Consider the following 16,568-nt stretch of genomic DNA (forward strand, 5'->3'; position numbering starts at 1 on the left):
AGGAAATATTTGGCCTGATTTTTTCTGACTTTCCTAGATAATTAGATAGGATGGAACAGTCTCAGTAATACTGAGAAAATTATCGAGTTATATATTTTTTTTCACTTCAAAACCAAAGCCTTTGTGAGTATAATACCCAGCAGTGGATGGGCAGGGTGAGCAGATCTTTGTAGGCTGTATGTATTCAGGCAGCTGAACCATCTTGGGTTTCTCAAAGAGCAGTGACTATGTTATTAGTCTTAGACCTATGAAGACAGGAAGAGAAGTCACAAGGAAGGGATAGCATGCTTATGGTATGCTTGGGTATCGAATAATAAAATATATCTGCAAAGAATAATTTGTCCTAATGGCACCTTCAGATGATATAATCTTGAATTCTCTGTAGCCTTAGAGATGTAAGGAAAAAGCAACTTACATCACAAAGATCAGTATTACTGTGTACTATGATGCCACTGCATGGGGTCCAGGATGAGAGTCTAAGTGATTGGTTCTCTCTAGCTGAAGACAAGAAGACACTCAGGTATGTGGCAGCACTTGGGATAGGCCACAGGGCGGCGAGACATCATTCCTTCCAGGACATCTATCCTGAAAGATCCATCAGGAATACTGTGATGGAGATAGTGATGGAGACTCCTTGTCTCTGGCAGTTAGAGTGAATGCTGAAGAAGAGCCCTTTTCCAGCAGGCCAGTCTCTAACATGATCTTGGGTCTTCACCCAGACCATGACAGCTCTGGTGCTCAACACACACAACCACCTCCAGGGTACAAGTTGGCCCCAAGAGAGCTGAGACAATATTGGCTCTAATTTTTATCATCTCATTGATCTCAAACCACAGACTCTGACCAGGACAATTGGGGGCCCTCTCCTTACAGCTACACTCCTAGGAAAGACCACCATCAATGATTACCAGGTAATTTTCTACCCCTACCTATGAAGGGACTTGGTTAGTAACTTCTCTTGCTAGAGGAAAAATGAAGCTTATTATATAAGATTAATGTTTGTGAAACACCTGTTATTTGGAATTGGTTTGGTACTTCCTCTTGAAATTTCCCTCATTAAGTTTAGGTCGTGGCTGTTTCATAAGGAAAGAAAAGGGCATGTATTGACTGGAATTAAAATTAACAAATCCATTGAGTAGGAGGATATTAAAATTGAGTGGCTCCCATTGGACAGGAAAAGGAAGAGAAATCCTTGTGGCAGGTAAAGGAGGAGAGATTTAGATCCTTGAGAACTCCATTCCCGACCCGCTGCTCCTGAGCCCACAGGAAGAAGGCCATCACAAGACAATAAAAATCCCAGAGAAATTGAAAGGCAAACAGAAAGACCCAGCTTGGAGTGATAAGGAAAATGAATTCCAGCAGGGAAGTCATTGTATCTAAAAGGAATGGCAAAAATAGGGCTTAGTTAAGGCAAACACCGAGAATGAGGGGATGGGATTCCCACAGGTAGAACACCACCCTTTAGCAATGATCCTGACCCTAAAGCAAGGTCATTTAAGTGATTATGGGCCAATATTCTAGAAATAAGCTTCAAATTATAGTAGCAACAGATGGGGCTAAACAGGAGCCGATAAGAACATACAAACAACTTCAGAAAGGGATGCCCGTGATGGGTTCATTAAGGAAAAAGTGGTCAGGACATCCCGCTAAAGCAACAGGATTCAGTGGATATTGAGGTTCTTGGGGGGCAATGAGACAGGCACCAAGAGACCACTACTTTATGGAAGACTATGATCATACTGCTAAATACCATAAAAGAATAGACAGAGCCAAATAAGAGACTGTTTCTAATGAAACAAGCAGACAATGTCCCAACCTCAGGAATTTAACTCAGTCTGAAAAAGAAGAGTAGTTTCAAAACTGTCAAGCCTGCTTTAGTGCTATAATTTTTTTCACTGACAAGAGAGAATGAAAGACTGATAGCTGGGGGAGTGGCGGGGGGTGAGGGGTGTTGACAGGTAGTAAGCATGCTGGAAACAGTGTCTCAAGGTGTGGGGTATATGGTGGGTATATTTGGGAAGTAGTCATTTTCTCTCAAACTGGAAAGCAGATGGGTGTGTTCAGACAAGATCTGGAAGCTGTGGCATGGCAGACAAAGGGAGATGGGACCCCTTTGGCACTGGAGGAAGAGGCTTGAATCTTCTTGGAGCACTAAAAGTTCCAAAAGACCTAAGCAGAAAATGCTTCCGAAGAGGAGGATCTGTATGGCAAGATGACTGTAATCAGGCTCATAAAAGTAAGACCTTACATAAATACAAGTGAGGGGGAAGACATTTCATGTAGGAGGAATGGCTCAAGCAAAAATACCAAGGCGGGAAATTGCGTGGTGCGTTTAGAAGTAGAAAAGGCTAGCTGGCAGGGAGGGGATACATAGGAAGGCAATGGAAATGAATTTGCAAGAATGAAAACAGGCTAAGAACTTTGAACAATTTTCTCTAGATAGTTAGGGGCTATAGAAGAAGATGGCATCTTGTACAAAGAGGAATTTAAGGAAAATTAATCTGTCAATAGTGTGTAAATACATAAGCTGGATAGTAAACTTAACTAAGTTAGGGACTATATCTGCCTTATGCACCATTGTCTCCAAAGTACCTACCATAGTGCCTGGCATGAAGTCAGACTCAATAGAGATGATTAATAATAGAATAAATGAAAGAAGTATAGTTGTCCCTTGGGACCCATGGGGGCTTTGTTCCAAGACCCTCACAGATACCAGTTGGTGGATGGTGCAAGTCCCTTATATGAAATGCTGTAATATTTGCATATAACCTATGCATATCCTCCCATATATATAAACTCATCTCTTGATTATTTATAATTTTAATACAATATAAATTCTATATAAATAGTTCTTATGCTGTATTATTTAGGCAATAATGACAAAAATCTGTGTTTGTTCAGTGCAGATGCTTTTTTAAAAAATATATTTTCCATCTGTGGTTATCTGAATCCACGGATACAGAACCAACAGATACGGTGGACCAACTATACGGGCAAAAGTTCAGTTCCAATAGAAGACAAGACTACTGCACAAAACACCTAGTGTTATGAGCTGAGACTAGGGTGGTAAAGAACAGACACTTCACATGGGTACCAAGGAACAGACACTTCACATGCGAGAATCTAATGTGTAAAGTGACTAATTCCATATCTAGGTAGGGGAAAAATGATTCATCCTGGATGACTTGAGTGCCTGGGAGATAAAAGTACAAAAAAGTAGCTGTTTTGGGTAAAATGACGATTAATTTGATGTTATTCATAAATTTAATTATTCAGCATTCCTTCATGTTTTTTTTATTCAACTGACAGCATCTTAGGCAGAAGGAAAGATAAAAGAACTAATGTAGGAAATAGCTTGGTAATTTCAAGTCATTGAAAGAATGGTGAAGTGGAGCTTGGTGTTCAAGGTGGAAAGCACAGTGACATGAGATTGGATAGCATGTTTGTAGGTGCTGAGCTGCAGGTAGTGACAGATGGGGTCATGCTTTATTACTAGCAGAGCTTCTAGACAATGACTCAATGGCTTTCAGAGATTCCTTGGCTCTGTGGAAACCGGTTTAAATGCTTTTTAAAAACAGCTTCAAAATTGAATTTAACATTGTTGCAGGGCAATGAAGCAGGGATTGCTGTGTGAATAGCAGTTTGGTAATTCCTCACAACGATTTGGTCATAGGCAATAACAATGTACTTTTGTGACGATGTGTCAAAATTTTTAAACCAACAAAACTTTATACATAGGGGAGGCAAGATAGTGTGGTAATTATGGTTATGAGCTCTGAAACCAGACTGCCTGGGCTTAAATCCCTTCTCTGTCACTTCACAGCTGTGTGACCTTGGGCAATTTACTTAACTTCTCTGTGCCTCATATTCTTTATTTTGAAAATGATGATAATAATAGTGCTTCCTATATAGATTATATGAAATATTGGATGAAATGCTTTATCTCAAGTGCTAAGAACAGTGCCTAGTACATAATAAATGTTAAATAAATGTTAGCATTAGTGGTTTAGTAACCTTATGCAAAATATAAGTTGGAGTATTATTTTAATGTATCATCTGGTGTGATTTTTTATTCCAGTACTTTATTTTTGTCCTCTGGTCTTTCAAATCAGACAATTAAGCTTCCATTGCCTTAGAGAAGGAATACTAAGCAGAAAATAAATTTTAGTTTCAAAAGCCAAAATTTTGCAATACCAAGAGCCTTGGCATTCCAGTTTCAAAAGACTAAATGCTAAAAGACCAAGGATATAATGTTCATGCTAGAAAGGGTTGATTGGATGAATGCAGAGTGATGGAGGAACTAGCTTTTCTGGCTCAGGGAGATAAATATTTTGTAGGCTGGGAGAGCAAAATGGGACTGATTGATGTCTATGCTCAGATACCAGTTTGCATCCCCAAAATAAGGCCCTGTGTCCAGGCCCCAGACATGGGAAGTTCAGGAGAGTAGAAAATAGAACCTGCAAGTAGTTGTTGAGATCCAAGAAAAAAATAATACCTGTGTCTCACAGTCCCCTAAAGGGACTGTAGGAAGCAGCATGCTTGTCCATCATGGCAAGTGAACAGTAAAACAGAGATGGATTGATACACAGGAATTTAGGCAGAAAGCCTTGTAGAATTTTCTTTCATCCAGCACAAGGGGAACCCAGGGACAGCCTGGAAGAACATGAGCAAGCACCAGTTCATCTTGTGAGCAATAATTGCACAAACTAATGACAGTGATGACTTGAGGGGAACACAGCCATTTTAGCCAATGCTAGCATAATAGATGGTTGTAATCAATGATTAGCAGTCCTGTCTCATAGCTGGGCATTTTGTGAACCCCCAGGAATGCAGACGCAATGCTAGAGATTGGGACAATTATGGGGTATTGTGGTGGTGAGAGACCGAATTGACAGAGATTATGCAACATTGACTGGAAGTAAATTCTTATCTCCAGTTGGAATAGTAACATGAAATAAAAATAAAGTTCAGTTAAAAACAGATAAAAGTTACATTTTTTAATCATCTCTATTATGAAAAATAGAAATATAGAAAAAATAAAGGAAAAAGTTACATTTCTTTCCTTTGCCCCTTAGTATGAACATACATACAGACCAAATGAATGGATCCATGGCACTATTGCAGAGAAAAGTTCAACTGCCTCTACCCTGACTTACCATTTTATAGAAGGATGATGCCCAGAATAACATTATCTTAAATACTCCCAAGATTTATAAGAAGGCCGAGGATTTCTGCCCAGACACATGAAAATAAGGCAGCGAAGGAAAAAATTAAAGCCAGTACTGCTTTTTAAAACATGCGGTTTATATGTAAGACTTGCAGAATTAAAATCAACCTCAACAAAATTCAAGGCAGTCAAATAATGTTCTTGAAAAGTGGTTACCCTCTGAGTTACATTTTTAACATTAACAGACATGGATTTTTTGGGAAGTGGATGCTGTATAACATTTGTATTCTCAGCATTTTCTGTATTTATTTAAGCCAGTTTGTTTTCCCCAGTGATCCTATGTCTTTGAGACCTCGCTCTTGACAATGGTGGCTTCAGGAGCAAGGCCCCAAATTGCCAGGCATTGCTATTGTGTTGAAGCCACGCTGCTGCTTTTCCCTCCTCATATCCTGAGCATGCTTTATTATTTCTTCCATTTATAACCTCTAGTTCTGCTCCCACAAAACCAAAATTCTCTGGGGGGTAAAAACTTAGCTACAACATTCCCTGAAATAGCGATTAGATTGAAGCTTCCTTGGATTTGTCCAAATCCAAACCCCCATTTCTGTACTTTGCTTTCTGTCTTCAGGTGATCAGGATGCCCTTCTCTCATCTGTCTACCTACAGCCTGGTTTGGGTCATGGCAGCAGTGGTGCTGTGCACAGCACAAGGTAAAGAAACTCAATTCCCCTGCTTGGAGCCCAGCAAACACAATTTCTGGGGTGAAGACATTTAGCCAGTATTGTTTGTGCTGTGCTGGTTCCATTTGTCTGCATGAATTATTTAAGCATGTAATCTGCCTGGAGGAGTGGACGTGGTTCTTTTCTGCTTTCCACACTTTTGTTTTCGATGTAGAAGCACACTTTGATATTTAGAAGCCGTTTCCATAGTAGATGAACCAGACTTATGAAAAAATCCTCTATTTTAAAATGTCATTTTTCACTTACTGAATTGAATTACAAATAATGATTTCCTCTGTTTTTAAATATATGGGAATGCTTGAATTCAATCTTTTTGGAAAGTAATCTGGCAGTAAGCCTTAAAATTGGATGTGTTACCTTTTTACAGAAAAATGTAGAAAACAACGAAATGTAGAAGTTATATAGGCTCATATTATCTATTGTATAACAAATTTGGTTGTGCCATCTACTTATCTACCGAAGTTCCTAGCTCTTCCTCCTCAGTTCCTTGGGAGGCCACACTCACTTTACCACTGGCCTTTTCATCACTTGCAGTGTGATGTTGCTCAGCATCAGCCTCCACAGATGTGGGTGATGCTGGTGAAGATCAGATAGGCTTCATGCCCATCTCCAACTCTGGTCCACAACATTCATCACAGGACTTATCAACTGACCAGAGGAATCTAAGTGAGATTCCATAGAGGTAGCAAAGAATTGTAAATTTCCCCTAAATGATTTCTTCCATAGTCAAAAAGAAAAAAAAAACTCATCTAAGAGTTGAACTCTAGTTTTGAGTTCCCTTTCACTCTGCCTTCTAAAAGCAGTAATTTCTTCAAATCTCTGGTCTGCAAAATCTCAACAAACTTTCAAGAAGTCTCAATCCTAGCAACAGATAGTTTCCCAGAACTTTTCACATCTTCCAAGAGTATACATCATTTAGTTTTGAATCATGCAATACTCAGGGGTTCCAGCCTGTATTTGTTATACCCATCTTTCATTCCCTGATATTGTGGGGGAGTTGCTTGTTTACTCAGCCTTCTTTTTTTTTCTACTTATACTTGTCAACATTTTATCCAGATTATCAGTCTTTAAAAACAAGTCTGGATGCTTGTGATCAAGTTTACATTTTGTGTACCATTTTATTAGTGTCTTTATCTTTATTAATTCACTGCGATATTTGAAAGGGAGGGTAGGAGGTTTGGAAGTAAGTGTATTCATTTTTAAGTATCTCTTCTTTTCTATTAAATGTTGCTAGAATTAAATGTTTCTCTGAGAACTGTCCTTCCTTCCTTCCTTCCTTCCTTCCTTCCTTCCTTTCTTCTTTCTTTCTTTCTTTCTTTCTTTCCTTCTTTCTTTCTTTCTTTCTTTCTTTCTTTCTTTCTTTCTTTCTTTCTTTCTTTCTTTCTTTCTTTCTTTCTTTCTTTCTTTCTTTCTTTCTTCTCTCTCTTTCTATGAAATTTCACTCTGTCACCCAGGCTGGAGTGCAGTGGCACAGTCTCAGCTCACTGCAACCTCTGCCTCTCGGGTTCAAGCAATTCTCCTGCCTCAGCCTCCTGAGTAGCTGGGATTACAGGTGCCCACCACCACGCCTGGCTAATTTTTGTATTTTTAGTAGAAACAGGGTTTCACTTTGTTGGCCAGGTTGGTCTCAAACTCCTGACCTCAAGTCATCCACTCGCCTCGGCCTCCCAAAGTGCTGGGATTACAGGCGTGAGCCACTGCACCAGGCATGTCTTACCCATGTCTATAGATTTTTAACATATTATGTTCTCATTGTCATTCAGTTATAATAATTTATGATTTTTTCTATGCTTTCTGGTGTACCTAAGACTTAAAAGAAGTATGTAAATTTCTAATTTTATTGTATTATGAACGGTGTTCAAGGCCATACGTAGGGTAGCAACTTTTTTGTAGCCTATTTTGAGTTCAATTTGGAGGAAGGTTTTATGTGTGTTTTGAAAAGATTATACATCCTTTCTTTGAGTAAAGTGTGTGTGTCTGTGTGTGTGTGCGTCTTATGATATCTTTATTCATTTAGTATGAGTTATTGGGTTTGTAAAGTTTATTATTTCTCTTTCATTGTATTGACTTTCTCAAAAGTTTGGCTATTTGTTATTATGTTGAGATTTTCCATCAAATAATCTATCATAGTATGAGTTGCTAATATTGGAGAAGGGAAGAAATTTATATTTATACACACACAGAGAGAGAGATCTACATACATATAAAGTATATAGTGTATATAATATAAACATATAAAACATTGATAATATTAAATACCTAAAGTATATATATAAATATATATTGTTTTTCAAATTTTCTTTTCTTTGTGACATGGACTTACCTTGTCACCCAGGCTGGAGTACAGTGCTGCAATCATTGCTCACTGCATCCTTGAACTCCTGGCCTTAAGCAATCTTCCTGTCCTATGCTCCTGAGTAGCCAGGACTACAAGTACATGACGCTACGGCTGGCTAATTTTTACATTTCTTGTAGAGATAAGGGTCTCATCTCTTGCCCACGCTGATCTTGAACTCCTGGCCTCAAGTGAGTCTTCTACTTTGACTTGCCAAAGCACCAGGATTACAGGCATCAGCCACTGTACCTGGTAGTTTTTCAAATTTCCTATTTAACTTTTTTTCCTTTAACAATTGTTTAAATATATTAAATTGAAGGTTCTCGGTATGATTGTGAATTTAAATTTTTTCTTTGTAATTCTATTAGTTTTGCTTTATATATTTCGGAGTTATGTTGTTAGGTGCATAAAGGTTTATGATTACTATAATAGATCTGATTTTAGATTGTTCCTTTTATCATTTTGAAAAATACTTTTTCCCTTCTTACAGTGGTTTTGTCTTCCATTCTTTTTTTTCTCTCCTTTTAGAAGTCTTACTGAACTGATTTTGGAACATTTAAGTCTACTTATTGAATTTTTCCTTAATCCCTTCCATATCATTATCTCTTTGTGCTACATTCTAGAATAATTTCATGGCCTGTTCTTACTTTTTACTAATTTACTCTTCAGTAGCATCTATTTTGCTAAGTCAGCCTATCTGTTGCAATTTTATATTCCTCATTTTCTATATCTCTAATTTCTACTATTCATAATGCTTTTATTATGCTTTTATTACACTTATATCATCACATGTATTCATGTCAAAGTATTTATTGTCTTATGATATCTTTATTCATTTTGTATGAGTTATTGGGTTTGTAAAGTTTATTATTTCTCTTTCATTGTATTGGCTTTCTCAAAAGTTTGGCTATTTGTTTTTATGTTGAGATTTTCCATCAAATAATGTATGATGGTATGAGTTGCTAATATTGAGGAAGGGAAGAAATTACCACCATAGCATTTAGTGAAAGCAGAGGGTGTGTAAATTATTATTTGTGTGCCAAAGCTTCAAGATCCTCCAGAACATTGTCCCATAAATCTCTTTACCTATGTTCCTATATACACTCTTGCTTCCTGGAGGCAGACACCTCTGTTCCACCTGCTTCCTTTGTAGATTGTGTATGTGTGTGTGTTTGTGTGGAATGCATAGGGCTGCTCCATCTTCTTTACTTACAGTGGTCACTCTGCCTGTTATCCTTTGGCCTTTTCCTGCTCTTTGCTTCTACTTCTCCAAGCATGGACAAGATTGGTGAAGCTGCTATCCTACCTGGCAGTTTACATCTTCAATCTCATTGTACCTACTTCGCAGCTTACACAGATCATTCACAATTTCTTGTAACTGAGAGTTGCTCTCTTGTTTTTCTACTCTGCTACTATTCTTTAAAGATTGAACAAACATATTTGAACCTATATATTTCTCTGGCATCACGTAGGAATGTAAATAAATGTTTTCTTTTTTGCATTTTCTCTTTCTTTTCTATATTTGACATTGAATATACATTTTATTTATAATCAGGAAAAAGTGTATGTGTGTTACAATCTTTAAATATAAATGTTCTTTTATGATTCCATAGTGCAAGTGGTGACCCAGGATGAAAGAGAGCAGCTGTACACACCTGCTTCCTTAAAATGCTCTCTGCAAAATGCCCAGGAAGCCCTCATTGTGACATGGCAGAAAAAGAAAGCTGTAAGCCCAGAAAACATGGTCACCTTCAGCGAGAACCATGGGGTGGTGATCCAGCCTGCCTATAAGGACAAGATAAACATTACCCAGCTGGGACTCCAAAACTCAACCATCACCTTCTGGAATATCACCCTGGAGGATGAAGGGTGTTACATGTGTCTCTTCAATACCTTTGGTTTTGGGAAGATCTCAGGAACGGCCTGCCTCACCGTCTATGGTGAGAATCTCTGAGAATCATTGTCTGTGTCTGGAAATACTATTTGCAAGAATGTTTGGAATATAGCCGTAGTGCCCAGTTTTTCAGGATTTTAACCACAGAAAGGGTCATGAGAAGATAGCCTTTCTTGTCTACTATAGCTGTGTTTATGATTATTTGGAGAGTTCATGGGGCTACACTGAGTTCTTTGGCTGGAGCTATCTTTTCTCTGAGGGATCCTGCTGTCAACAGGAGAAATTTGAGGACAATGGTGAGGGCAACAAGTTCTCCATAAGCAGTGATATGATTCAGACCTGGCTTTGCCACTAGCAATCATGCGACCCTAGAAGGGTCCTATCCACTCTCCACTGGAGTTTCATTGTCTGGACAATAAGTGTGAAATAGATCATTTCTAGGGTCACTTACAACTTCAACTTTTTGGATCTAAGGACAGAGCCAGATTGGACTAGCCTTGAGCCAGTTATGATTGTCCTTCTCATTTTGCTTGGGGAGATAGCTCTTTCAGGATTGATAAGGGCACATAGAGCAGAGCCTTTTCATACCTGAAATGATGCCAACTAAAGATATAACTGGGCAAGAGCATTCTTTTAAAATCCAAGAGGCTTAGTTTGATGAAATTCTTCTTAACTGACACACAGCTGAGATGAAAGGTTACGAAGTGAGAATAAGAGATTACTTTGGAGCATGGCACACACGGCAGTAGTTTTAGGGAGTAGAGGACAAACTTATGGTTATTAGGAATATTAAGGTGAGAGTTTACTCATGCCAATAATATTGCCCACAGGGAAGAAAAGGCTTAGTAGATGAGAATGCAAGGGAGATAGGACAATGCCAAAAGAAATTTCTTTTACTTATTTTGCCTATAATGAGTCCTCTCTGTAGAATCTTATGTTGTTTCTTTCTTGATTTCCACTTCTTTCATTCTCTCTTTTTCTGTTTCTCCTCCCTGTCTCCTTCCTTCCTTTCCTCCCTCTCTGCCTTCCTTTCTTCTTTCCTTCCTCCTAATTTTTCTTTTTTTCTTGTGTCATATTTTTCTCATTTCTGTTCCTTTTTATTCTCTTCCTCTTTTCCTCACCTTTCTTTCTCTTAGTCTCCTTCCTTCACTCATAGACTTTTGTATTTTTTTTTCCTGAAAAGCAGATGTCTCTGAGCTTTAAAGCTAGTAATTCTGTTCTCTTCCACACTGACCTTTTCCATCCACACCTTATAACTTTCATGTAAGCCATTCTTTGATACATCATAGGACCTCAACACTCAGTCTGGCCCATCAACCATATTCATGTTTTTTCATTTCTATTTCCCTTCTTCCAGCGCTCACAGACATTAGTAATCTTAGCCAGAGCCACAGTTCCATAGCCCTACTTCCCCAACCCAGTGTCTTCTACCTGCCTCTTGAACCTATAAGCACAGCCCAGGCTTTCAGTTAGCACTGCCATTTAATTATCTTGTGGGCTCCAAAGCCAACCACAGAAAGACAAGTTTACATCTGCTTAGAAAAGAAAAATTCTATATTCCAACAAAAATGAACTCACTAGTCAGGGGATTTTCAAAAGGGTACAGGCTACAGCTGGCCTGAAAATAATTTTCTCATGAGCTAGTTAGTTTTTCTTAACTTAATCAGGTGATTTCCAGTGCTCTTCCAACAGTCATTTCTTAATTTTTATGGTTATTAGCTACGAATTCCAAATTTTGGTTTTGTGTAGCTCTTCCAAAAAGGGATTTTCCAGCTCTCCTCCATGCGTCTAATTCACTGGTCCAGCTCCAAGAAGAAAATGGCTATCTCTAAGCAGTAGCCTTTCTATGGGCTCTCTGTTCCAAAACTGCCCTAGTGCCTCTGATAGGTACAGGACACATGTATGGCAGTGCTGGTTGGTGGTTATTGTCAAGCCATTTAAGAGGAATACCCAGAAGAAGGCAGAGATGCTGCATTGCCCCTGGAAGAGAACAGAATAATTAGGACTGTTTGGGAGAGAAAAGTATCATCTGACTTCTCAATACTCTATGTCCATCTGACAAATTCTGCTACAGACAAATTACAGAAAGGGTCTTTCTCATCACAGGTTTGTACTAGGCCAGTCTCCATCCTGCAGATCAGAAAATTAGACACAAGAGGAACTGGAAAGTCCCCAGTTTGGGTAGGATATGCCATGCTATCTTTCTAGCCTCCATTATCTTTCTATAAGCATATTTCCTTCATCTCTCTGAGGAGACTGCAGGACTCAGACCAGGTGCTTAACTGATAACAGATCATATTTATTTTTTGTCCCAGTACAGCCCATAGTATCCCTTCACTACAAATTCTCTGAAGACCACCTAAATATCACTTGCTCTGCCACTGCCCGCCCAGCCCCCATGGTCTTCTGGAAGGTCCCTCGGTCAGGGATTGAAAATAGTACAGTGACTCTGTCTCACCCAAATGGGACCACGTCTGTTACCAGCATCCTCCATATCAAAGACCCTAAGAATCAGGTGGGGAAGGAGGTGATCTGCCAGGTGCTGCACCTGGGGACTGTGACCGACTTTAAGCAAACCGTCAACAAAGGTAAGAGAAAGTGAGCAAGGTGGCTGTGGTTGTGTCTGTGTGCATGGACCTGGAAGGCAGTGAATGTCCTGCAGAGGTTTTCAGCCTCTTAGCATAATCTATTTGGAGAAAGAATGGGGCAAATAAGGAAAAAACAAAACAAAACAAAAAAATTGAAGAAACAAATAAAGCAAGTTTTACTTTCATAAATGTGGTTCATTGCCCACACACCAAATGCTGTTGCTGAGATCCATTCATTTATTTATTTCTTCCACTCTACTAACATGTAATTAGGTCTGTTCTGGGCCAGACTTTGAGTTGAACATGAAAAGTGCAGCAATGAGCAAGACTCAGTCTCTAAGCTTCTAGTCTACTAGGGAATAGAGATAAATGGATGGGCAATTGTAAAACTGTGCATTACATTCTCCAGTGAGAAAGCTATGATGCACCATGGGAGGATTGGAGGTTGGGAAGGAGGGGCTCAATCTGGGGGAGATTTGGAAGGTTTCCTGGAAGAAGTGACATCTGTGATGAAATCACTGTATAATCTACACTGTGAGAAAGGGACCTATCTGAAGTGCTTTCGTCACCCATTTTAAAGCAAACTGCCTCCTATCCAAGTCCCTTTTTGCTTTCTTGTGTTTTTGTCTAAACTACTGTCTCTGGGCCTCATAGATACAAGAGGTGAGAATGACAGAGGAGAGAATAAAGGGAGCAGAGATTATAAAGACAAGAAGTTTTAGCAATAATAGCCACGTCTTTTCTCTGTGTAGTTTTGAAGCACTGACTCTTGATGAAGCAGTCAGTAATAAGCCTCCTAAAAAGTATTACTCCTCTTTTTTGGAGAAATTATGAGCAATAAACTGGAAAAGCTTTCTACACCCACCTCTTTACTGCAGTGGCCTTTGGAGTCCCTGAAAACCCAGACTAATCAGAAATTGGATATTTAGGTAAATTTGGTCAAAAAGACTTGCAGTGTTGGATTTGGATATTTGTGAAGAGATCTTCAGATTCAGCCATGGCAAAGGGTATATTTCCTGGAAAAACAAGAACCTAAAAAAGAATGTCTTTTTTTTTTCCAAGAATGCCAGATTTGACTTATATCACTTACAGTGTTTATATACCACTTGTATAATGTTTGTTTATTCTGTGAACATTTACCAAAAAACTTCCATGCTCAAAGCATTATGTCAAGCACTGGACCTATAGAAATCAAACAAATCCCTGTCTGAGGTCTGAGGTGTTCAGTTAAATAATGATGTGACGAATCCCATTATGGAGGTATGGAGAAGATGCTAGAGACTCCCAAATCAAGGAGTTCCTCATTTGCCTTTGCATTGCAACATGACACTGAGGAACTGATATTTAGGCTGAGTTGCATTAAAGACATAGATAAGAAGAAATTTACCAAAAACTTTGAGATGAGTTATCTCTGGGGGTTGAAATCATGAGATTCATGTTTCTTTCTTTGTACTTCTCTGCATTTTCCACAATTTCCTCAATAAACATGTATTCTTTTAATAGACAGTATGGCAAAGAATATGTGCTTTAGAGGCAAACAGACTTTCAACCAAACCTTGGCTATCCCATTTGTTATTCTGATTTTGATCTCAGTTAAATTCTCAAAGCCTCAGTTTTCTTTAAATCTGTTAGAAAATAATAACTCTTGGGATGTTTTGAGGATTAAATGCGATAAGTTTAAAGCTCTTATTACACAGTAGCCAGATAAAACATGTTAGCTATTACTAATATCTAAATATTATTAAAATAATATGAAGTCATACGTATAAACCTACATATGTATGTATTTAAGGATAATTTTAACTAAAAGCTCAACTCTTTTTGCCTCAACAATTTCCTCATGTGATGTCATTTTCCTTTTTCTTTCTTCAATATCTATAGGCTATTGGTTTTCAGTTCCGCTATTGCTAAGCATTGTTTCCCTGGTAATTCTTCTCGTCCTAATCTCAATCTTACTGTACTGGAAACGTCACCGGAATCAGGACCGAGGTGAGTTGTCACAGGGAGTTCAAAAAATGACATAAATTAAATTTGATTTTTAATGACAATTTGTGAGTCATTTGAAGATATAAATAAGGGAATGGCAACAATGTGTTTTGTCTGTTGTTTCCAAAATACAGAAATGTTGATACTGTTTTAAAATGCGTCGGGGCATTTTCTTGCAATTGGACATTAAATTGGACATTTCTGCTTTTTGTTTGCTAAGATGACTTAAAAGCTAATGAAATCAAACAATGGTGATAGAACCAAAGAAAGAAGTCTGGCACCCACACAAGGCCCTTTCCACTCATTAATGAGAAGGACAATCTCTTCTCTTTTTATAGCACTTCACAGGCCATCTGCCCATTTAAGAGGCTGCAATTGTCCAATTATGATCACTCATTAAGTAGCACTTTCTGTGTTATACTCCCACGATGCCTCAAACACTGTCAGCATCATGCAAGTGATCCATACTTACAGTAACTGTGTCATGCCATTCTGCCCTTCTAGACTGTAAATTTCTCTTTATCTTTCACAACTATCACAGCATCTTATATATACCAGGGTCTGAATAAATGTTAATTTACTGAATGAACTGATTGAGGACAGAGAGAATTTTTAAGGTGATTTTTTTTCAATTCCTTTTCTCCTATTGTAAATTCAGTACCTCATAAACGCCAGTCTAAGATATTGTGAGAAATTATAAAACAAGAGACACTATAAAGCAAGAGCAGTGAGCTAGATAGAGAGGAAGAATGAAATGTCTTTGGTTTCTGTAGACAATGCATAATTTATTGAAGTGAATACAAAGCTGCAGTTTATGTTTTGTGTAATGGAAATTTGCTAGGGTGAAGGGGTGATGTGGGAGTTTCCTCCATTTCAGATGACTGAAGGATAGGGGTCAGGAAAGAAAAATAGTTGGCTTTGATAGCTATTTTAGACTTTGATTAAAAATCTCACTCATTTTTTCCTTTCATTTTATGTTTTATAGAAATGTTTCCTTTTAGTTTTATGTTTATATTTTTATGTTTTTGTTCATGTTTCAAGTTTTTGACCACTTTATTTTGCATAATCCTCCAGATTAATTCTTGTGAATTTATAAAACACCCAAAAAGCCTTCAGTGTCAGTGGCCCTTTTGCAAAAGTAGGTAAAGGTATTTGTTCTGTCCAGGAGAGAAGATTACAAATCAGTTAATCTTACTACACATAATTATAAGCCTGTGGAACTCATAAGTGCTCCACAGAATAAAATCAAAGACAGAAGTCTGTTTGATTCTACTTTATCCAGAAATTTTTCTTTTCCAATTAGGAAACTGAAGCCCAGAGAGGAAAGCTGACTTCCTTCCATAAGTTTATACAGCTTCTTAAGAGCAGGCTAGGACTAAACCCCGGTGCCCTGACCTCTGCCAAATGTTCTTCCTGTCATTACTGATGCCCCAATGTCTTGACTTGAAAGGAGCTATTGTTATCAGTTGCATTCACTTAATCTGTGCTTACTGTCTATGCCCTTTTCTTTTGGAAAGTGCAAGCAGACAAGTATAAAGTATTTAAATTCATTTTTAAAAGTCCCTCTTGGGCAAAAGTTTTATAATGCAATCTACTCAAGCCTGAGGTAAATTCTACTGGAAAGAGACATGCAAAATAATTACCCTTGTTCATTAAGCAAGTCTTGGATTTTCTGGGAAATATAGTCATTCAATGCCAATATCCGATTCTTGAAGCAAAAAGAATCAGCTTATTTCTCTGCCCAAGTTTTTCCTCACTTATGAAATAAATACCTGAACCTATGTTGACTCCTGTACGCATCAGGATTGCCATTTACTGATGATGTCTTCATGACATATGGCCAATTGCATTAATTCCT

General features: G+C 38.2%; 1 protein-coding gene across 11 annotated transcripts in view, besides 1 other annotated feature; it reads left to right on the forward strand.

Annotated features, from left to right (window-relative positions):
* Positions 1-16,568, forward strand: part of CD200 (CD200 molecule) — a 30,240-nt gene that overhangs the window by 2,534 nt on the left and 11,138 nt on the right. For 2 of the 11 annotated variants that reach the window (NM_001365854.1, NM_001004196.4), the window contains exons 2-6: positions 837-911; positions 5,796-5,877; positions 9,856-10,182; positions 12,452-12,724; positions 14,606-14,713. In NM_001365854.1, coding sequence (NP_001352783.1) covers positions 5,805-5,877; positions 9,856-10,182; positions 12,452-12,724; positions 14,606-14,713 — 781 coding nt within the window. In that variant the 5' untranslated portion in view covers positions 837-911; positions 5,796-5,804. Of the gene's footprint in view, positions 1-498; positions 912-5,795; positions 5,878-9,855; positions 10,183-12,451; positions 12,725-14,605; positions 14,930-16,568 lie in introns of those variants that run through there. The other 9 variants (NM_001365853.1, NM_005944.7, NM_001365855.1 and 6 more) reach the window with 7 other exon arrangements.
* Positions 128-887: an enhancer, noted in NCBI's record as "NANOG hESC enhancer chr3:112054081-112054840 (GRCh37/hg19 assembly coordinates)". NCBI's record gives its function as "activates a minimal SCP1, AML or CMV promoter by ChIP-STARR-seq in primed H9 embryonic stem cells {active_cell/tissue: H9 hESC(primed)}" and the evidence as "EXISTENCE:reporter gene assay evidence [ECO:0000049][PMID:30033119]".

The sequence above is a fragment of the Homo sapiens genome, chromosome 3 (genome assembly GCF_000001405.40).
Source record: "Homo sapiens chromosome 3, GRCh38.p14 Primary Assembly".
NCBI classification, from domain to species: domain Eukaryota; kingdom Metazoa; phylum Chordata; class Mammalia; order Primates; family Hominidae; genus Homo; species Homo sapiens.